Genomic DNA, 21,690 nt, shown 5'->3' with positions numbered 1-21,690 from the left:
TGGCTCACTCTTGGGAGAATGACGGCTGCATTGGCTGCTCATGTCCCAGCCCCGAGCCCTGATGGGCGATGATGCTAGTGTCCCGCCACTCCCATCACTGCGACTGTCCTTAAAGAGTCAAATCTGCAGAGGGACAGGCATGGGAGAGAACTGGGGAAGGAGGGCAGGAGCGGCCATGCCAGTCCCAGGTCCCTGTCTGTGGTGGAGTTTGAGTCGTGCTTCTTGGTCTTTTGGGATTTCCTGATGGGGCCGTTTGTGTGGCCGCGTTTCCATGTGCCCGGGGCTTCTGGTGGCTGAGTCTGCTGGCAGGTTGCCCCACACCCATTGGCGCTGTCCACTCCACGTCCACTTCCATTGCCCAACAGGCCAGGGAGCCTCCAGGGCTTTTGGCTGCTTCTCTTGGCTCAGGCTGGCCCGACTGGGGGTGGGGAGTTCCCTGAAGGCAAGGTCCCGACTGCATCTTGGTCCTCAGCACGTGCAGTACCCGGATTCTGAGCTTCGGCTCCACCTGGACTCCTTACAGTGGCATCTGGTGGGATGAACACTGTTGTCCCGGACAGCCCAGGCTGCCGGCCTCTGCCCTGCTGCTTCCATGCCCCCATTAGGAAGAAGCAGCTCCCACACCTAAGGTGCACACAAGAAAGGCCTCCGAGCCCTGGGGCAGCCCCACAGCTGGTCACGCACCTGACCTCACAGTGCAGTGCTGAGCTACAGATGGCCTGCCCCGAGTGCAGGGTGCTGGCAGGAGAGAAGGTGGGCGGGTTGGGGGAGAGAGGCCTGAGGGAAATGCCAGGCTCCACTCCATGGGAAGTATGAAGGGTTCTGAATGGGGGGGTGGCATGCTAGTTAGGGTTATCAGAGAGACAGAGAGCCCACAGGTGATATATATGGAGGCGGGAAAGAGACGGAGAGAAAGAGAGAGGGAAGGGAGAGGTAGAGGTGGAGGAGGGGAGAAGGAGAGAGGGAAGCGAGACAGGGAGAGGAGAGAAGGAGGAAAGGAAGAAGAAGAGAGAGAGAGGAGAGAGCGAGACGGGTTGATTTTAAGAAACTGGCTCATGTGATTCTGGGGGCTGGCAATCTAAAATCTGCCAGCAGGCCGGAGACCCAGGGAAGACCTGGTGCCGCAGCTTGCATGGGAAGGAGGTCCGAGACTCCCTCCTACTTGGGGAACTTCACTCTTTTCTCTTCAGGCCTACAACTAATTGGATGAAGCCCACCCACATTGTGGAAGGTCATTTCCTCTACTCAAAGGCTACACATTTTACAGCAAATCACATCTAAAAAATGCCTTCCTGGCCGGGCGTGGTGGCTCACACCTGTAATCCCAGCACTTTGGAGGCTACGGCAGGTGGATCGCGAGACCACAAGAGATCAAGACCATCCTGGCCAACATGGTGAAACCTCGTCTCTACTAAAACACAAAAATTAGCTGGGCATGGTGGTGTGTGCCTGTAATCCCAGCTACTCGAAAGGCTGAGGCAGGAGAATCGCTTAAACCCAGGAGGTGGAGGTTGCAGTGAGCGGAGATCGCGCCACTACACTCTAACCTGGCAACAGAGTAAGACTCCGTCTCTCTCTCTCTCTCTCTCTCTCTCTCTGACACACACACACACACACACACACACACACACACACACACAAAGACTGGCATTTGTCTAAACCCTGTGGCACCATGGCCTAGGCAAGGTGACGTATATAATTAACCATCACGGGAGGTGCTTTGGTTTGTTCCTGCAGCTGCTGTAACAAAGTATCCCAAACTGGGAGGCTTAAAATGACAAAAATGTGTTCTCTCACAGTTCCGAAGGCTAGATGTCTGAAATGAAGGTGCCAGCAGGGTCACACTCCCTCCACTGCCTCTTGGGTACGGGCTGATGCTTCCTCGACTCTTCCAGCTTTCGACAGCCCAGGCGTTCCTTGGCTTGCAACAACAGAAGATCAATCTCTGCTTCGTCTTCACACAGCTGTTGCACACGTGTGTCTCTTCTCCTCTTCTTATAAGGACACCAGTCATATTAAAATAGGGCCCACTCAACCAACCCAAATGCCCATCAATCAACGAGTGGATAAAGAAACTCTGATATATATATATATATATATGATGGAATAGTACTTAGCCATAAAAAGGAATGAATTAATGGCATTCGCAGCCACCTGGGTGAGACTGGAGACTATTTTTCTAAGTGAAATAACTCAGGAATGGAAAACCAAACATTGTATGTTCTCATTCATAAGTGGGAGCTGAGCTATGAGGATGCGAAGGCATAAGAATGATACAGTGGATTTTGGGAACTCGGGGAAAGGGTGGGAAGGGGGTGAAGGATAAAAAACTACAAATTGTGTGCAGTGTACACTGCTCCAGTTATGGGTACATCAAAATCTCACCATTCACCGCTAACTAAAGAACTTAGGTAATCAAACACCACCTGTTCCGCAGAAACCTATGGAAATAAAATGTTTTTAAAAAGGGCCCACTCTAGTGGCCTAACTTGATTACATCGGCAAAGACCCTACAAGGTCACAGTTTACAAGCACAGGGAGCTGGGATTGAGCATTTTTTGAGGGTGGGGCGGGCACCCAATTTGACCCAGTACAGACAGGGTCTCATGTGATCTCATGGGGCTTTAAGAGTGTTTTTTTGTTTGTTGTTTGAAGAGACAAAGTCTTGCTCAGTCACCCAGGCTGGAGTGCAGTGGCATAATCCTGGCTCACTGCAGTCTTGAACTCCTGGGCTCAAATGATCCTCCCGCTTTGGCCTCGCAAAGTGCTGGGATTACAGCCATGAGCCACCACGCCCAGCTGGATGTTCTGAAGACAGGGCAGGATAGCCTGAAGGAGGTGAAGAAACAGCTCGTCTGCTGGTTTAGATCGCCTGCTGATCAGTAGTGAAGGGTTGTTGGTTCTCGGTGTGTTTGGGGCAGGGCCTGTGTCATGTCCATCTGTGTCATTCTGGCACAATGCCCATCAATGCCTGTGGAAAGGCTGGTGCTTTCTGGACTGAGAGCTGGCCTTGGACATGAGGAAGGGTATGGGGCTTCCCAGAAGCTGGGCCCAGGGTTCTGGCTGGAGCCTCCCAGCTGGGAAGGGCCCACGCATCTGGGCAGCAGGTGCCAGCCCCCTGGCTAGATGCAGACAGGGGCAATCCCACTGGAGGAGTCTGTCCACCCCCAGCCCTGGCTGGGTGGCCATGAAGACTGGCTCTGCCAGCTCCTTTCACCATCCACAGTATGCCAGGCCGGGGCCTGCTTTGGGACCGGGCCACACCTTCTCTGGCTCCTCTCCCACCGGCTCAGGCTCTGCCCTTGTGAGGTCTCCACTGCCCCAGGGCTGAGGGACACATTGTCCCCATGGGCCTCTGACTGCCTCACTGTGAACTGCATCCTCCATCTGAGGCAGGCTGTTCATATGCAAATTAGATGCAAAACTGAAGTTTCAACACATGCAGCAATGAGCGGGCAGCCTGGACTCCTGGGCACAGAACGCCCGGAAAAAAGCCTCACCCAAGGGCTTCAATTCTCATCTGTGTTCATGGGAAAATCCAACTTCTTACATTCTCTGCTGGGTCCCCAGGGCACAGCCTGGAGACCAGCCTCTGTCACAGTCACGGCCACCTGCTGCCCTAGGACACGGGACAGGTACGTGGGGTTCCAGGTGGCAGGGCTGCCCCAGCACAGGAGCCGGCTGTTCCTGGGCCCTGATGACAGCTCTGTGGTCAGAGTGTGGACTTCGAGGGGAGGCAGCAGTCAGGCCAGACACACTGGAGAGCTGCATCAGACTGGTCATGTATTGGCCTCTCTCCTCCAGCTTTGGCCTCTGGGTGGGGGGCTTCTTCCCCTAGGCTCTGAGATGATCAAACTCAGTCACAGTGACCTTTGGCTCAGACCAGAGCAAAGGCTTACTCCCTCCCTCTGTGGACCACGCGGAGGACCACCCTGGAGGGTCCATGTGGAGTTGTAGTTTTTAATGCAGGCTTAGCACATCAAAAATTAGAAGACAGGCCAGGCGTGGTGGCTTACACTTGTAATTCTAGCACTTTGGGAGACTGAGGCGGGCAGATCATCTGAGGTCAAGAACTTGGCCAACGTGGTGAAACCCTGTCTCTACTAAAAATACAAAAATTAGCCAGGCATGATGGTGGGCGCCTGTAATCTCAGCTACTCTGGAGGCTGAGGCAGGAGAATCACTTGAACCTGGGAAGTGGAGGTTAGAGATTGCAGTGAGCTGAGATCGTGCCACTGCACTCCAGCCTGGGCGACAGAGCAAGGCTCCATCTCAAAAAAAAAAAAAAAGAGAGAAAACTGAGCGCACACACCCACTGCTGTGTGACCTTGGACAAGTGCCTTGACCTTGCTGAACGTGTTTCATTGGTAAAATGGGCTAAAAATTCATCGGTAAAATGTGCCAAACATATGCATCTTGCAAATCCACAAATGTGCACACCAAATGGGACACAAAGCGGGGCAGAGCCAGAGCCCATTGGTTGAAAGTCAGCTGCTCCTGGCATGCTGATCACCTGGTTCCCTTTGCAGGGGCTGAATCTCCCGCAGCGCAGCTCCTGCCCCCAGCGCAGCGACACTGGGGTGCATCTGCAGAGGAGCGGAGCCTGCATCTTCCTGTCTCTGGCCGATGAGCGCCTGACGGCTCTGACCGCACTTGTTTCGTTTAGTGATTCTGTTCCCTCGCCTTAGTGATTAGGATCCACGATTCAGCTGGGTGGTTCCTGTCAGCTCAGCCTTGGTCGTGAATTCCCTTGGAGCTGTCAGAGAGTCGAGCATCAGAGCTGCCTGTCAGTCAGCCGGTCAGCTGGTCAGCCAGTCTACAAACCCAACGGCTGTCCCGCCTGCGCCACATCTACCCACCTGCCCATCACTGAGTGGGTTGGGAAGGGGAGTCCTGAGCTGGTGCCCTGCCTGTCTACAGGGAGAGATCCTCAGCTCCTGCTTCTCAGCATCCCTCGGTCAGAGCCTGCAGTGACCTCTACAGTGTTCAGGGTGTGTGTGACCCCAGCACACCCGCGCCACCCACTGCATCACCCCTTACACATGTGCATGTCGCATGGGATCAGGTGTGCATGTCCTATGGTCTGTCACACCAGGCATGCCGAGGAAATGCACCACAGCACACATTTGTGCTGCACAGGTGCCTGCTTCCTGTGTGTGTGATGTAGCGTGCCCTGGGTGGGGAGTGTGTGGTTGTGTGCACATCCCTGTGTGGTTTCTAGGAGTCCATGGCACATGGCTTACAGCAGATCATGCCTCTTCTTTCCTTTATGTATCCTTTCCCTCTCTCCCTCCCCCACTTCCTTCCTTCCTTTCTTTTTTGAGACAGTGTCTCATTCTGTTGCCCATGCTGGAGTGCCGTGGTCATGGCTCACTATAATCCTGAACTCCTGGGCTCAAGTGATCCTCCCACTTCAGCCTCCCAAGTAGCTGGGACTACAGGTGTGCACCACCAAGCCCAGCTAATTAAAAAAATATATACATATATACATATTTTTATACTATATATATATATGTATATTTTGGCCAGGTGTGCTGGCTCATGCCTGTAATCCCAGCACTTTGGGAGGCTGAGGCGGGTGTATCACCTGAGGTCAGCAGTTCAAGACCAGCCTGGCCAACATGACGAAATCCCATCTCCACTAAGTAAATACAAAAATTGGCCAGTGTGGTGGTGGAGACCTGTAATCCCAGCTACTCAGGAGGCTGGGGCATGAGCCTTACTTGAACCTGGGAGGTGGAGGTTGCAGTGAGCTGAGATTGTGCCACTGCACTCCAGCCTGGATGACAGAGTGAGACTCTGTCTCAGAAAAAAAAAAAATTCATAGAGGCAAGGTCTCACTATGCTGCCCAGCAACTCCTGGCCTCAAGCGATCCTCCTGCATCAGCCTCCCAAAGTGGTGGGATTACAGGCATAAGCCACCGTGCCTGGCTGCTTGTCTTCCTTCAACACATGTGGGCCTGGAAGAACAAGCCAGAGCTAGTGGTTGCTGCTGCAAATGGGAAAGAACGAACTGCGTGGCCCTATCCCACAACCCAGTGTCGCTCCCTGGCTTGCCCTGTCTCTGCTTCCCACGTGGGATGTTGACAGCAAGACCAACTGGCTGGCCTCCACTTTGCAGTACACCACGCGGAATGATCCTGCCATCTGCCCCCATGTATCCATTCACTTCACATTGATGGAGCACCTATACGGGCCAGTAGCATCTTAGGTACTGATGACAGTGTCTTAACCAGGAATGGGATAGTGTGGCCCCTGCCCTCATGAAGCTTCCAGTCTAGCAAGGAGGAGAGGCACTGGCCAGCAACTCCATGTGTGATGGCAGCCATGGAGGACTTTGCAGGCAATGTGGGACAGTTGACATGTTAGCTAGCTCAGTGTTGCAGGTGACAGCTCCTGAAGATCGTGACAATAAATTGGCACCTGAGGGTAATGAGGACATTTCTGGCAGAGCTTCATGGCCTTCCACCATGAAAGCAAGGCTCCTGGGATGAAGAGATGGGTCCAGAGACTGAAGAGTGTCAAGAAAAGGCAGGGCCAGGTACAGTGGTTTACACCTTTAATCCCAGTGCTTTGGAGGCCAAGATGGATGGATTACTTGAGGCCAGAAGTTTAAGACCAGCCTGGACAACATAGTGAGACCCCATCTCTAAAAAAAAATGAAAAAATTAGCCTGGGCACAGTGATGGGCACCTGTAGTCCCAGCTGCTCAGAAGGCTAAGGTGGGAGGATCAGTTGAGTCCAAGCGTTAGAGGCTGCAGTGAGCTATGATTGCACCACTGCACTCCAGCCTGGGTGACAGAGTGAGATCCTGTCTCAAAAGAAAAGAAAAGAGAAAGGAAGGAAGAAGGGAGGAAGGGAGGGAAGGAAGGAGGGAAGGAAGGAAGGGCAACCATGATGGCTGGCCGGCAAGAAAGAGGCTTTATAGCCATGCAAAGACACTAGACCTTACCTCCTAAGGCCCAGGAGAGTCTCAAAGAGCTTTAGGGTGTGGAGTTATTTTGAATTTAAGGACCATTCTGAGATGGAGTCAAAGATACAGCAGAAAGGTTGGTCAGGGGATTGCTGTCACTATCCAGGCAGGAGACTCTTGAGGCCTGGACCCAGGGGATGATGAAACAGTGGAGGGAGAGTTGAAGAACATTTCGGGAGATGGAGGTGTGCTGGGAAATGTTGAACACCTGACTTTCTGGGTGATGGGGTGGGAGCGGGGAGCAGCCTGGTTTGCAGTGTTTGCTGATTTCCGTGGTCTGAAATCCCATCATGGCAGATTTCAAACTACTGATGTCATGTGGGGCTGGGCCCTTGGGGGCCAGGACAAGTTGGCCTGAACTCGCCACTACATCAGCAGGACCTGGGACTGGCTGACTGCAGAGGGAGACGCTGGCTTCTGACTTTAGCAGTGGTGAATGCTGATGCTATTCCCTGCGCAGGAGGACAGATCCCTGTGGACTTTGAGGAGACCTGACTACAGGTCTCCCAAGTGCAGACATCCAGAGGGCAGTTGGAGGAGAGGGAATTAGGGGATCAGGGGTGGCTGGTCAGAGGTGCGGGGGGCAGACGTGCCTGTGGGAGCTCATTCAGCCACCTGTGGCTCTTCTGGGCCAGTGGGGGCATGATACCAGCACTTCTCAGGGAAAGAGGGGTAGAGGCAGTGGGCCTGGGCCTGGAGGCTGCCATTTTCTGGGCCCACCGGGATCCCACCCCAGGCTCTCAGCAGCCGTGACCTCACAGCACCATGCCTGGTGGGTTAAATGGGACGGATGTCAACGCCTCCTCTTGTCTGGCTGACATGGCACGTGGTGACCACTCTGCAGCCAGCTCTGCAGGAAGGCACCTCATTTGGTCTAAATAATGGTGAATTCCCATTGTGGGGTTACCAGCAAATAGAAGCAAGTGAGTCAGGCTGGAGCCCGAGGCTGGGGTGGCCCCATAAAGGGGCTGTCTTGATGTAGTTTGGACATTCGTCCCCGCCCAAATCTCATGTTGAAGTGTGATCCCCAGTGTTGGGGGTGGGTCCTGGTGGGGGGTGTTTGGCTCATGGGGGGATCCTTCATGGCTTGGTGCCATCCCTGTAATAGTGAATGAATTCTCATGAGATCTGGTTGTTGTGAAGTGTGGCACCGCCTGCCCCCAAGTCTCACCCTTTGTTCCTGCTTTCACCAGGTGACACGCACACTCCCGCTTGCCCGCTGCCATGAGTAAAAGCTCTTTGAGCACCGCCCCCCCCCGCCAAGAAACCAAGTGGATGCTGGGGCCACACTTCCTGTCCAGCCTGCAGAGCCGTGAGCCAATGAAACCTCTTTTCTTTATAAACTGCCCAGTCTCAGGTATTTATTTATAGCAGTGCAAGAATGTGCTGACACATGCCTGTTTACAGGAAAAGTGCTCCCTACCCACTGGCCCAGCCCTGAGACAGGCCCTCCAGGGGCAGACGTGGGCAGCATGTCCTTCTTCACCCTGGAATGGAGTCAGGCAGCCAGGACGGCAGCCTCATTACCACTGTGGCCCAGCTGCAAGAAAATGATCGGTCCAGCTCCAGCCGGCCTTGGGATGCATTGTTCTGGCTGCCACGTCAATTACCGAGCTGGCCTGGAGCTGTCAAGCCTGTCACAGCTGTTGCTGTGATACCCTAAAGAGCCACAAAAGTGAATCTGTCTTAAGTGATGCTTCTTTGAAGTGACCCCCACTGCAGGCCGCTCTGGCCTGGGTGGGGCTCTGCAGACACCCTGGGGAGAGTGGGGCTCCAGACTGCAAAGGGCTGCCTAGGGGCTCAGGGATGGGTGCTCTGATCCTTGGAAGAGCTCCCAGACGGCTGAGCACTGATGGTCACTGACTGTACCCACAGGGGTCCCGGAGTCTGGGTGACGGCCCTGACTCAAGCACAGTGAATGGGCAGCTACAGTTCCAGGCCCACCCCCACCCCTACACCAACATCTCCAGTGTCTTCTCTCTGGCATCTCAGGGAACACCGAGGGGCAGCTGCAGCTGAGGGGTCATCCTGTGTGCCCCCCCACCCCACCCCACCAGAACAGAACAGAGACTCTGGCAATTCACAGGTTGCAGGGACAAGGCCAGAGACTGCCCGGAGCACTCAGGGGCTCTGGCCGTCAGTCCGGCTCTTCCCTGCCGAGGGTCTGGATAGCTGCAGTCTACATTTCAGAGCTGGGGTGAATCTCCCAGGGCAGGGCCTTGAAGCTGGAGTCAGGTCCAGCCAAGGGCTGGGGCAAGAGAAGCTCTGGAAGGCTCTGGCCTGAGGATTACACCAGCTTCTTTGAGGGGTCAAACTTGAGCATAATACTGGCGTGGTGGTGCACACATGGAATCCCAGCTACTCGGGAGGCTGGGGCAGGAGGATTGCTTGAGCCCAGGAGTTTGAGCTCCCATGTTGAGTCTGGGCAACATAGTGAGATCCCATCTCTTAAAAAAAGACACCAAACCTGAGTATGGATGCCAATCTTGGGCTTGTCAGTGGCTGGCTGTGGGGACATCACCTCCCCTGGATACCTGTCCAAGAGCCCCTTTCTGCTCCCTTCTGAATGGCCGGCTCTTTCTTTCTTTCTTTCTTTCTTTCTTTCTTTCTTTCTTTCTTTCTTTCTTTCTTTCTTTCTTTCTTTCTTTCTTTCTTTCTCTTTCTTTCTTTCTTTCTTTCTTTCTTTCTTTCTTTCTTTCTTTCTTTCTTTCTTTCTTTCTTTCTTTCTTTCTTTCTTTCTTTCTTTCTTTCTTTCTTTCTTTCTTTCTTTCTTTCTTTCTTTCTTTCTTTCTTCTTTTTTTGAGACCGCGTCTCACTCTGTTGCCCAGGCTGGAGTGCAGTGGCATGGTTTTGGCTCACTGCAACCTCCACCTCCTGGTTCAAGCGATTCTCATGCCTCAGCCTCCAGAGTAGCAGGCGTGCGCCACCACACCTGGCTAAATTTTGTGTTTTCAGTAAAGACGGGGTTTTACTATGTTGCCCAGGCTGGTCTTGAACTCCTGGGCTCAAGCAATCCACCTGCCTGGGCCTCCCAAAGTGCTGGGATTACAGGCATGAGCCACTGCGCCCATCCTGAATGGCCAGCTCTTCCTCCGCCCAGCCCAGCACCCTGTAGCAGCAGGAGCCCCCACAGGGCCATGTGGGCTGACCAGGGGGGCCCCAGACCATCATGGGAGCACAGACAGCCTGTCTTCCACTGCCCCCTCACAGCCATGCCAGACGGGGCTGCCTCCACACCCCCATACCACACTCACACCTAAACCACAGGCCCTTTGCATCTCATACCTGTACAGCCTCCAGAGCCCTGGGGTGCTGACTGCAGGGTTGGGGAAAGTGGGGAGGGCGGAGAGACTCCTGAGGGTTGCATGTTCAGAAGTCATTCTGGAGGTGACTGGGGAACTTGGAGAAGAGTGAGGCCCAAAAGGAAGTGGGAAAACAAATTCAGGTTCTTACCTTATGATGGAGGTGAGGAGTGGGGACATCTGAACTTAGGCAGGTTGGGCGGGGGTAGGAAAAGGAAATGTTGGATTTTGCAGAACAACAAAGCCAGAGGGCTAGAGGGTTTGGTGAGTCAGGGGTATGAGGGGTGAGGGTGAGGGAAATGTCTGGAGGACTCCTCCCATAGCATGCTGCCAGGACCCCCAGACAGGGAGGTCTCAGGGAATGGAGGAGCCCTTGGGGGAGAAGACCCAACCTTGGCTTATGGTGAACCAGAGACAGACTCGAGCAGCACCTGCAGGTAGCAGCTGTCAGCTGGAAACAGGACAGAGCTTGGGTGAAACTGTCCATTAGCCAGATCTGGGCCACATACCTCGGTTTGGGAGGCAGCCCAGACACACACCATGCAACCTAGGCCCGCGACTTCCAGCATCCTTCAAACAGGCCCACGTCACCGCCTAACGCCAGCCTCGTTAGCTCTGAGCACGAGAATATTAAGTAGATGTAAACACTGGAAATAGCTGTTATTTTCACGATCTTCATGCGCACCTGGAATTGGCCATCATCACAGTATTCACGTTATTCAATAACATGAAGTCTTCTAAGGCAATCCGTCAGCCAAGACCCAACCCCCTTCCCGTTCTTCGCTCTCCAGCACTTTGGGGGTGTCTCCTTGCTCCAAGAGAGGTGCCATTTGCAGGGAACTGGAAGCCGGTGTTTGCCTGGGTGGGGGTGGAGGAGCTTACTGGGCTCCTGGAAGACAGTGCCCGAGGTCCCTGAATTCCCCTTTCAAGGCCTCAAACTCTTTGCTTAGCCTCTGCCTGCACATCTCCACCAAAGGCCCTGCAATTAGACCCGCCAGCTTTGCAAACGGAATGTGCTCCCATGTAATGGCTGTTGGTAGGGCGTCTGGGGTCACCGTGAAAGGAGAGCTAAAGAAGATATCTGAGCTGTTTTCCTGCTTCCTTTGAAGTCCAACCAGCGCAGCTGCTCTCGGGACGAAGAGAGCCCACCACGGACACAGAGGCAGCCCCTCCAGGCTGCGTGCATTTCTGGAGGAATTAAGGCTCCAGTCTGGAGCACCGGGCATGTGTTTTGGGCACCTCTTTGCGGTTGTGAAATGTGCTATTCCGGGAAACAAACAAGCCTGGCTTGTGCCTTCTGTCTTTCACGCCTGCGCGTGGCAGGGATGAGGAGCGGGCCAGGTAGGTGTGTGGAGGGCCGTTCTTTCTAGAATGAATGATTCACTAGCAGGGTGAGAGGTGATTCACTGCTGCTCAGCCCACCACAGCATCTTCCCCAGGATTAAACGTCATTCCTTCTAATGACTTGATTTATGTCCGGAGGATTACAGCTCCAAACAAAATATTGTGATGATGGCAATAAATCACATGGGGGATGCTTACGACGGCTGCTAGCATGTTTTCTGTTTGTCTGGGAGTTGATTACAGAATGAAGGGCTGCTGTGTAACAGGGAGTATGGGGCGGGGTGAGCACAGCACAGGTGTGTCAGGCGGTGGGAGCTTTGACAGGGGCATCAGAAGGTTTCCAGTGCCAGAGGCTTCTGTGAAAATCTGTGGTTGCAGACAGCAGGGATTTTGGAAATCCGGAAGTCCACAGGAAGGCACCATCCTGAGCCCCTGGGGGGTGCATGGGTGGTGGGCATCCTGAGAATGTCATTTCCAGCCTTTAGCTCTGCTGCATCCGCAAGTGAGAGACACAAGGATGGGCCAGGCTAGGATGGCTCTGCAGGGCTGAGCTGCTCGGAAGAAGGAGGATCAGGCTGCAGACAGGTGCCCCTGAGCCGGCATCTCTCACTCAGGTGCTCAGCAGAAAGGGATCCTTTTCCATCAAGACCTGGCCCTGCAGAGCAGGATCTCAGAGGTTCACATCATCTGCAATCAACTTCAAGGTTCACATCCACAACAGATTTGCATGGACCCCAGCCTGGGCTCAGGAGGAAACTGGTAGCCTTGCTCTCCCAGCTCTGTTCTTAGCTAGTCTATTTGAGAGGCTGTCACCCCTGCCTCTGACAGCTGGGACAGTTGTCCCTGTGAGACGTGGCAGAGGCTGGAGCGGGCATGCAGGTGGGCAAACACTTGAGGGGCTGCCACACAGCACCCTGGACTGTTCCCACCAGTCAAGCTAAAGCTCCATCCTGGTTGGACGTCTGGGAGAGGATGAGCCTCCTCTTTGGTAAAGTCGATCCTGTCCTTGGATCAAACCAAAAACAGAGGGAAAGGGGATGAGAGCAGGCATAGGGTTAAGATGCACGGCAAGGTCCCCTGATCCCAGCAGAACAGTCCCTCATCCTGCCTGGTGTGCTTCTTCTAGAGAGAAATGTGTTCTCGGAAGAGCCCCGCAGCCTAGAGTGCTGTAGCAAGGACGGTTTGCTCATAAGAGGTCATGGACCCGGGTGACTTGGGGATGCCAGGTGCGGGGATAAAGCAGTCCATTAGCAGGTATGAGGCCCCAGGCCCAGCTCATAGCACACTTGACTGCCAAGTGTGAGTGAGGAGGGGGTTTGTACCACACAAGGGTGTCTTCCTTGTCAGATGTGATGCACTGATGATGGGGAGATGCACACGGGGGGCACACTGATGTCAGGTAGGATGGTACACAGAGGGTAGTGGGGAGATGGTGTGGGGATGGCATATGGATGGTGGGAGATGGTGTGGGGATGGTGGGAGGTTGTTGGGGGATGGTGGGGGGATGGAGGGGGGATGGTGAGGAGATGGGGGATGGTGGGGGGATGGAGGGGGGATGGTAGGAGGATGGTGGGTGGTTGGTGTGGGGATGGTGGGAGGTTGGTGGGGGATGGTGAGGGGATGGGGGATGGTGGGGGATGGAGGGGTAGTGGTAGGAGGATGGTGGGTGGTGGGGGGATGGTGGGTGGGTGGTTGGTGGGGGATGGTGGGTAGGTGGTGTTGGGATGGTAGGAGGATGGTGTGTGGGTGGTGTGGGGATGGTGGGTGGTTGGTGGGGGATGGCAGGTGGATGGTGAGGAGACGGGGGATGGTGGGGGATGGAGAGGGTTGGTAGGAGGATGGTGGGTGGTGGGGGGATGGTGGGTGGTTGGTGGGGGATGGAGGGGGGATGGTGGGTGGTGGGGGGATGGTGGGAGATGGTGGGAGGTTGGTGGGGGATGGTGGGAGATGGAGGGGGGATGGTGTGAGGTTGGTGGGGGATGGTTAGGAGATGGCAGGTGGATGGTGAGGAGATGGGGGATGGTGGAGGATGGAGGGGGGATGGTAGGAGGATGGTGGGTGGGTGGTGGGAGGATGGTGGGTGGGTGGTGGGAGGATGGAGGGTGGGTGGTGGGAGGAAGGTGGGTGGTTGGTAGGGGGAAGGTGGGAAGTTGGTGGGGAGATGGTGGGTGGGAGGATAATAGGTAGATGGAGGACAGTTGGTGGTGTTAGAAGTCCTGAAGAAAAGATTGGAGATGGGGCCTAGAAAGGGCTGGGGCTGGAAAGGGGTGCTGGAGGGAGACAGGAGCAGAGATGGAGAAGCTACATGCAGGCTACATAGGCAGGCTCCTGGCCGCTCCCCCTGGTGAAGGTGCAGGCTCTGGCTGTGCCGTTCCCACGGGCAAGAGTGACCTCCCTGACCTGTGTGGCCTCTGATGCCCAGGCAGTGGCACAGGTGACAGTGGTGGCTCCAATTCAAATGCAAGCGAGCCTTCCCCCAGCCCCCAGTGCACCCCCCTGGCTGCAGGGAAGGCTGTGGCTTCTTTCTCCACCGAACGCTGAAAGCAATCTCCAATGTCAGAAGACAAAGCCTTTGCCCATCTTTGTTGAACACAAGGGCAAAAAAATTGTTGTTTGTTTTATAAAGTCTGGCAAATTTTGATAATGAAACCATTGGAACACTAATTCTGAAACCTTTCTAATTCCAGGCAGATAAGGAATAATGGTAACGTATTTCAACTTCAGAAGCAAAAATAACCTTTTATCACCTAATTTAACAATGTTACTGGGGAAATATGTTAGAAGAATGTAAAATGCTATTTAAACGATAAAATATGCTGTCTTGGATGGCAAGGATTTTAATTGCCACAATCAGAGTCCAAACACACTTGCATGCCAGCCCTGACAGACACTGCTAATGAGAGGGTGTCCATAACGTGGGGCGGCGGGAAGGGTCAGATGCGACTTCTGCGACTCCCCGGGGAACTGCCTAAAACCGACAGCTGTCTGGGCTCTGCCATGCTCCTCAGTATCGTTGCCTGTGAAATACGAATCGGTTCAGATATGAATATTAATCGGCCAACACATTAATATTAATCAGTTAATATATACTTCCCATGACAACAAGAGATAAAGGAATCTTATGTGGCGGATCAGGGAACACAGAATATCTAAGTGGATTTCCTCAGGATCCACAGCATAAAGAAGACTAAGCCTCTTAGACGTGTCATCTTGGCAGAGAGCGAAGCCTGGCTCACGCGTGGGTCGAGTAATGAGCAGGAGAATCCCTGTGGGAGTGAATTCCTCTCCCCGGGCAGGGGGTGGTGCTTCCCCCTAGGCGGCGGGCAGGTTGGGGGAACTGCGGTTGGCATGGGCAGCCCCTACTTCATCCCAGGGCTCCCGGGCTCAGGCAGCTGGGGCGTCCAATACCCGCTAGGCGGAGCCTCCCCTTCGTCCTGGGGCTCAGGCAGCTGTGGCAGCAAATCTCACTCCAACCCCTGGGCAGGAAATCTCATCCAATCCTAGGTGCAGGGTTGGTGGGGTCTGAATGGCTGGCCAAGCAGGGCCCCTCCGCTGCCCAGAAGGGGGAAACACCACGCTGCTACCCCGATCCCTGACCCCTCCTGGCGCCGTTGGAGGGAAAACACTCATTCTGTCATTGTTCATTTGGGAGCTGGTGCCGCAGGCCCCATGCTGAGGGGTGTTAAAGGCTGGACAGAGAAATGATCCCGCTCCCGTGGGGGCTTCAGCAGGATAGGTTTTACTATCCCTGTTTGGCATGAGGGCACTCACTGAGTCTCAAAGAGGTTAAGTGGGTCACCCTCATCCACACTGCTGCCCAGGTAGGCTGGCAGAGTGGTGGGTCCAGGCCCGAGCTGTCTGATTCCATGTCCTTGCTGTAACCACTCTCTGATGCTGCCTGCCAGTGCCCGGGGACGGTGGGCCGGTCAGGCAGGAGGCTGGGGGGTTCACAGAACGTCTCACTATCATTAAGCCAGTGTCCACCATCAGAAAAGCTGCCAGGGTCTTGGCCTTGGGCTGCCCACACTGGGTCCCTGGGGAGACCAGCCTGCCTGATGGGGGCTGCTTGAGGGCAGAAGGTGACTTACCTATGCCTGCTCACTGGCAAGCTGCCGCCACAGCACAGGCATATCTGAGCACAATTAACATTTTAAGCACTAATTATTTCCCTTGGATGTCTACGTCTGAGGATCCTTCAATTTCAGCTTAATTGGAGAAAAATGGTCATCAGTTATTGAACAGCGGGAGGGTGGCTCTGTGCTTCCCAACACCGAGCCAAGCCGTGAATCCTGAGAACATATGGGTCCCTGCCGTGGCAGCTGGTCAGCCGGGCCAAGCGAGGGTGCGGTGGGCAGGCTGTGGGCACCCTGCCCCGCCATCCCCAACATCTGCTGGGAAGGCTTTTTGGCCACGTTAATGACTTGCCTTTTTATCTTTTCCATTTTGTTCCATTTTCTGCAACAGCATCTGTTGCAAGAAAACCAACTCCAAGAGGAAATGGGATTCATTATTAAAAGGAGAGCTTGTAACTTCCCCATCACTCCCCCTTGTCCTTGATGATAATCTGAGCTCATAATGAAATCCTCAGGCCCTCCCTGGCTTGGCTGGGAGGGTTGCAGGGCTGGGTGGGGGTGGGGGTGCATCTGCCTGCTGCTGAGGGGTACCAGTGGTGAGCCTGGACCGAGCCTGGAGAGGCTCGGTCTGAAAGGGTATCAGATGCCCCAGCCAGGAGGCTTGGCCCAGGGCCCACCACTGCCTCTTCCCTCCGTTGGGGGTGGGCGGCTGGTGCCTGGGGCCTTGTAAGAGAACCGTGAGGCTTTGCTGATCACACTTCTGGAAAACGAAAAAGAATGCTCTATTTTGCTTTGCCTGGTTTTATTCTTTGGTTCCCTATGGGCAACCAATTAAGAGAATCAATACTTCTGGACCCTGATGGGAAACTGAGCGGCTGGTGGACACTGGGGAGTGGCTCTCGCCTCCAGCAGCCTTCAGGGATGGCTTATCCCGAGGCTTAGGGGTGGGGGATACAGGGGCGGGGTGTGGGATGCAGAGGCAGAGTGGCCCAGGACACAGGGATGTGCCAACTCTGGTGGCTTCTCCTCCCGGATGGATGGCTCTCAGATCCAGGCCCTGGGGTCCTGGGGGTAGCCCCAGAGGGGACTGAGCAGGAAACCCTGAGGTCTGTCCCAGCGTGTGCCTATGCTGGTGACCACAGCCCCTATAGCAGACGGCTAGTTAGGAGAGGCTGGAGCAGTTGAACTCAGCCAGGACCCTACTCAAGTAATAGGACCCTGCCCAAAAGTGCATCCTCCCAACCCTGCTGACCCTGCTTAACTAGCACTTGATGACCCCTGTGACCTCATGCTGTCACCACCCCCCTTAGGTCACCCTCCTCTCTTGGGTTCCAGACCACCTTGTTGCACCCCCTTGGCGAGGGGCCCTGCCTTCTCAGGGTCCTTCCAGGCCTGAGCCTCTGGCCCGTCTCAGGGCGTTTCGGTCTCCCAGCCATGCCAGCTTCCTGGACCACACCTAGCTGGGGCGCCAGGCCTCAGGGAGGACTCAGAGAGTGCAGCCTGTGGACAGGAGAAAGGCAGGAAGCAAGGCACAACGCACCTGCCAATGGCTGCTGCACGATGAGGGCCACGACCCGGACCCTTTCATGAGCTGGGTGCTTGGTGCGCCAGCTGGACAGCGCACAGCACGTGACATACAACCCACCCATAGCTAAGGGCACATGTCCTTCCTCCCTTTGGAGCCTGACCCTGGGTCTCCTGGCTCAGCAGCCTGGGGCCTCAGGGAGGTGCACCCACTGGCCTCTAGCACCCACAGTGCCTGGGAGGGAGGTGGGTGAGTAGCAGTAAGACTGAGGGCTGCAGGACCTGCCCAAGTTACTGGCCCTAGTGACCACCCAGGGACTTAGAGGCAGAGCCTGACCCTGCCCTGTGCCTCATCACCGCTGTCTTCATCTGTGATGGGGTTCATTGAGCACCCACTGATTCCAGCCACCCATGTGTTGTGAAGAGCTCATAGCATCGGCCCCTACAGAAGGCCATGAGATTGGTGGTTGGTTGGTGGGGGGATGGTGGGGAGATGGGGGGATGATGGGGAGGATGGAGGGGGGATGATAGGAGGATGGAGGGGGGATGGTAGGAGGATGGTGGGTGGCTGGTGGGAGAAAGGTTATTATTTTGCCCCAGCTTGACACTGATGAAGCTGTGATATACACATATTTAGCCACTAAGGTCACACAGCTGGCCAGTGGCTGAGCCAGGGATTGAACTCAGGGATCAAACTCAGTTGTCCCTGGCTCCGGGTGTGCTCTCCTAGCCACCTGCTGCTTTCCCTCAGAGCTTTGTTCATGGCTGCAAGGCGGGACCTGTGGTGAGGTGGGGGAGCCCCGGACATAGCTGCTTTTGCTGCCATCCCTGGGGCATGCACACCCCTTCTGCCCACCAGGGCCTCTCCTGCTGGGGGCCCCCCTTGCTGCTGTCCCTCTGGCACCACCCAGGCCTCATCTCACATGGCGTCCTGAATTCCTCTGATGCCCTCAGGGGTGTGCGCCTGTTGGGTGGGAGCTTCCCAGCCTCACTCCTTGAGGCTCTCCTCCGAGTGAGCCTTCGGTCCTGATGCCTTCACCTGCCTTCTCCTCCAAGGCCTGTCACACACTTATCCATGGTGTGGCCTCTCCTTCCTCACTGCACTGGCTTCTGGATGAAGCAAAGTGGCCTAGACACTGAGGATCTGAGCTGTGAGAGCCTCCTAAGGGCCCAGGAGCGGCAGCAATTTACCTGCCTGCAGCCTCAGTTTCACTATCTGTATAATGGGAAATCAGGGCTTACTGTCCAAGGCTGTGTGCGTCTCCTGCAATAGAGGACAAGGTGAGCAGCCGGGCCTGTGGGCTTGCTGAAGGAACCTGCAGGAGCCACCCCCAACACCATGTTGAGACAGTAAGAGACCCTGGGTCCCAGATCTGGGCCAGACCTTTCATCTCCCCCTCCCCAGCTGGGACCCCAGCAGAAGCTGTGAGCAGAAGTGGAACCTCAGGCCAGGAAGGCTCAGGGGAAAGGAACCTGGGGCGACACGGCCATGAGCCTGCCCAGCGGCGCTGGCACCAACGAGCGGGTAGCCCTGTGTGATGGCCAGAGCATGGGCTGCAGGCCCCATCTGTCCTGGCAGAAGCTGTGTCTCCACTTCTCACCAGGTGTGGGGACTTGGTCAGGTTCGGACCCATTAGGTCCTGCACTTCTGCCCTTGGAGAGTGGAGATGATAATGGGGGATGTGGAGGGTCCCTGAGCTCACCGCCATCCAGTGGAAGCTGAGTGCCTGGGCCTGGCGAGTGCCTGGGGCATAGCTACATGACTATTGATTAAGGCCCTAGATGCCGTGGATCAGACAGTGCGAACAGCCTGGCTTTGGGTGAGTGGCAGGCGGCATTCCCCTGGGTCCTTGGCAGGAGGGAGCACTGGACGGGACAGCTCTGTGGACAGCCCCTCATCCACCTCCTCTTCCTGCCTGTCCTGAGGGAAAGGAAAATCTCCTTCCCCAGGCCATGTTCCTTCTCCACCAGAACTCATTAGAAGTGTGGACTTTGTCATCATACCCAGCGGGCAAGTGCAGGGGAGCCAGGAGACCCGCTGAGCCACCTCCTCGGCCTCCACAAAGAGCTAGGAACCCCCCTTGTGTGTCAGTTAAAAAAAAATCTCAAAGCTTAAAAGCCTTCCTTAGACTTGTTTTTTGTCATGAAACATTTCATTCATGCAAAAGAAAATATATAACACTATAAAGACGAAGAAAACAAACAGCCAGGTATTCACCACCCAGTTTCAGAAACAGAATTCTATCAATATCATTGACGCTCCCTCTTTGCCCCTCTTGGACAGCCCTCTCCTGCTCCTGCCGGGGTAATCACTTCACAGAATTCTGTGTTTATCATTCCTTTCTCTTCTTAGTAGTGTGTATGTGTGTGTGTGTGTATGTGTGTGTGGCATATGTCTATATCCCCTAAGCAACGTATTGTTTATTTTTACATGGTAGCTTAGAGCTGGATGCAGTGGGAGTATTTACACCATAGATATTGGCAAGTGCTACAAATCAGGGCTCTATTCTCTTCCTCCCTGGAGAAGGGGTTTACCAGCATGTGAATGGGTTGCAGGCCAACTCCAGGGGGAAGGTGTCGCCTTCCAGAAGAGGAGTATCCTATCAGCTGAGGTCAGATCTCTAAGGACGGGTGCAGCTGTGAGCAATTAGCTGTCCCCACTAACTGCAGCAGGGGAAGGGCGCACCTGCCCGCTGAAGTGTGTCTGAGTGGGGCACCTATGGCTTCTCTACAACAAGTTATAGCAAGGTCCAGACCAGAAGTGACCCCACAAATCTGCCCCCTCGTTCTTTATTCTCTGGCCCACCATATTTACAGGCCATTCCCTGGAGTCAAACATATGCTTACCAGAGCTCTCCCCAACCTGAAATTATTTATGACTTGACATTCAGGGAGGAACAGCAATTTTCTCAAAATGTCTGATGTCATGATATATAGTCCGTTTGACATGCATGTGCCCAAACCGATTGCTCTGCAGGTCTGCCCCTCAATTACCATCGCCCTGATTTAAAAAGGAGAATTCATATTGCTTGGCAGGATGCTAACTCAAGTAGCATCCAAAGAAAATGACCAGAGCATCTTATGGAAAAATAAATGCCTTGAAAAAAAAAAAGAACAAAATGTACCAGTTATCTGGCCAGATCCTTGTTTTCTAGGGTCTTTTGTTAGGTGACGCTGGAATGGAGTGAAGTCAGGCCCCCTGCTTCGCAGAACTCACCTCCCACTAACTCCTGGCCGCATGGCTGTGACTAGGTCACTCCTCCTGCCTGAATGTCACTAAAGACAACATGGCCTGTGTCCAGGTATGCTGTGTCAGGAAACTCAAAGAACATGCCCATCAACAGGCAAACTGATAAATGAACATGGTACATCCATTCTACGGAATACTGCTTGCCTGTAAGAAAAACACCAACTACTCATATACATGACGATCATGGATGAATTTCACAAACATTTTGCTGTGCAAAATCAGCCAGGCATAAAGGAACACACACTGTAGGATCTCACTTATGTAAAATTCTAGAACAGGCAAAATGAATCTCTAGAGATGGAATAAGATCAGTGGTTGCCGGGGGCGGTGCGGGGAGTGAGTGAGCAGGAACACGAGGGAATGTTCTGGGGTGGGGGAAATGTTTCACGTCTCCAATTGGGGTGATGGAATACATTTGATAAACAATGCATGTGTTTTCTTGTTTATAAATTACACCTCAATCAAATTGATAAAAAACGATGTGAACATATTTTAGAACTCTAAAGTGCCATGTTTTTTAAAAAAATGCTATTTTAGTTTTGCAGACATCTTGCTTGTATCTCAGTAACACCAAATGGCAACACTTGGAAGGAAAAGGCTTTTATAAAACTAAAGACTGCTGTGAGTTCAATAACACCAGCTACAATTAATTTTCAATGATCCTTGAATAAGCAAAGGAATTTGGAAAAACTGTCTCCGCCCCAGTCAAGTAAACCTTAGTCACTCCTTGTCCCATGTGGAATGGAGGAGCCAGGACAGCAGGGGCTGGGAGCCAGAGGTGAAGGGTGCAGGGAGGCTGGGGTCAGGTGAGATTGTGAAATCACAGCCCTGCAGCTTGGCTGGGTCTCTCTCCAGAGAGTGGTCTCAGCTGGACAAAGTCCCCTCACCCAAGGGGCTGCCTGCATCCAGACACTAGTTGATGTGTGGTATAAAGGCACAGCCCCCTTGCATCAATTCAGGTCAATTCTGTGGGAATATCCCAGCTCCAGAGCTCCCTGTGGGACTGGCAGACTAAATCCCCACCCGGTGCCCTCACTCCTGCTTCCTTCGTTCCCTTACAGGTGTTGATCAGAGGGCACCTCCCTCCCAGCCCCGTGCAATTCACCTCCTGCACTTCTTCAGAGTCTCTTTCCCAGGAACCCGACAGTCAGTGCCAGTGGGGCAGAGAGAGCAGATGCTAAGATGAAATGTTAGGGTTGAATCACCTGCCAACCAGCCAGCAAG

General features: G+C 54.2%; 1 protein-coding gene across 6 annotated transcripts in view, besides 1 other annotated feature; it reads right to left on the bottom strand.

Moving 5' to 3' along the window:
* Positions 1–21,690, bottom strand: part of CHST8 (carbohydrate sulfotransferase 8) — a 151,557-nt gene that overhangs the window by 6,356 nt on the left and 123,511 nt on the right. The gene's annotated exons all lie outside the window — the stretch shown is intronic.
* Positions 3,203–3,807: an enhancer, noted in NCBI's record as "H3K27ac-H3K4me1 hESC enhancer chr19:34254252-34254856 (GRCh37/hg19 assembly coordinates)". NCBI's record gives its function as "activates a minimal SCP1, AML or CMV promoter by ChIP-STARR-seq in naive H9 embryonic stem cells {active_cell/tissue: H9 hESC(naive)}" and the evidence as "EXISTENCE:reporter gene assay evidence [ECO:0000049][PMID:30033119]".

The sequence above is a fragment of the Homo sapiens genome, chromosome 19 (assembly GCF_000001405.40).
Source record: "Homo sapiens chromosome 19, GRCh38.p14 Primary Assembly".
Lineage (NCBI taxonomy): Eukaryota > Metazoa > Chordata > Mammalia > Primates > Hominidae > Homo > Homo sapiens.
The sequence above is the reverse complement of the archived record's forward strand: the minus strand, read 5'-3'. Positions and strand labels throughout refer to the sequence as shown.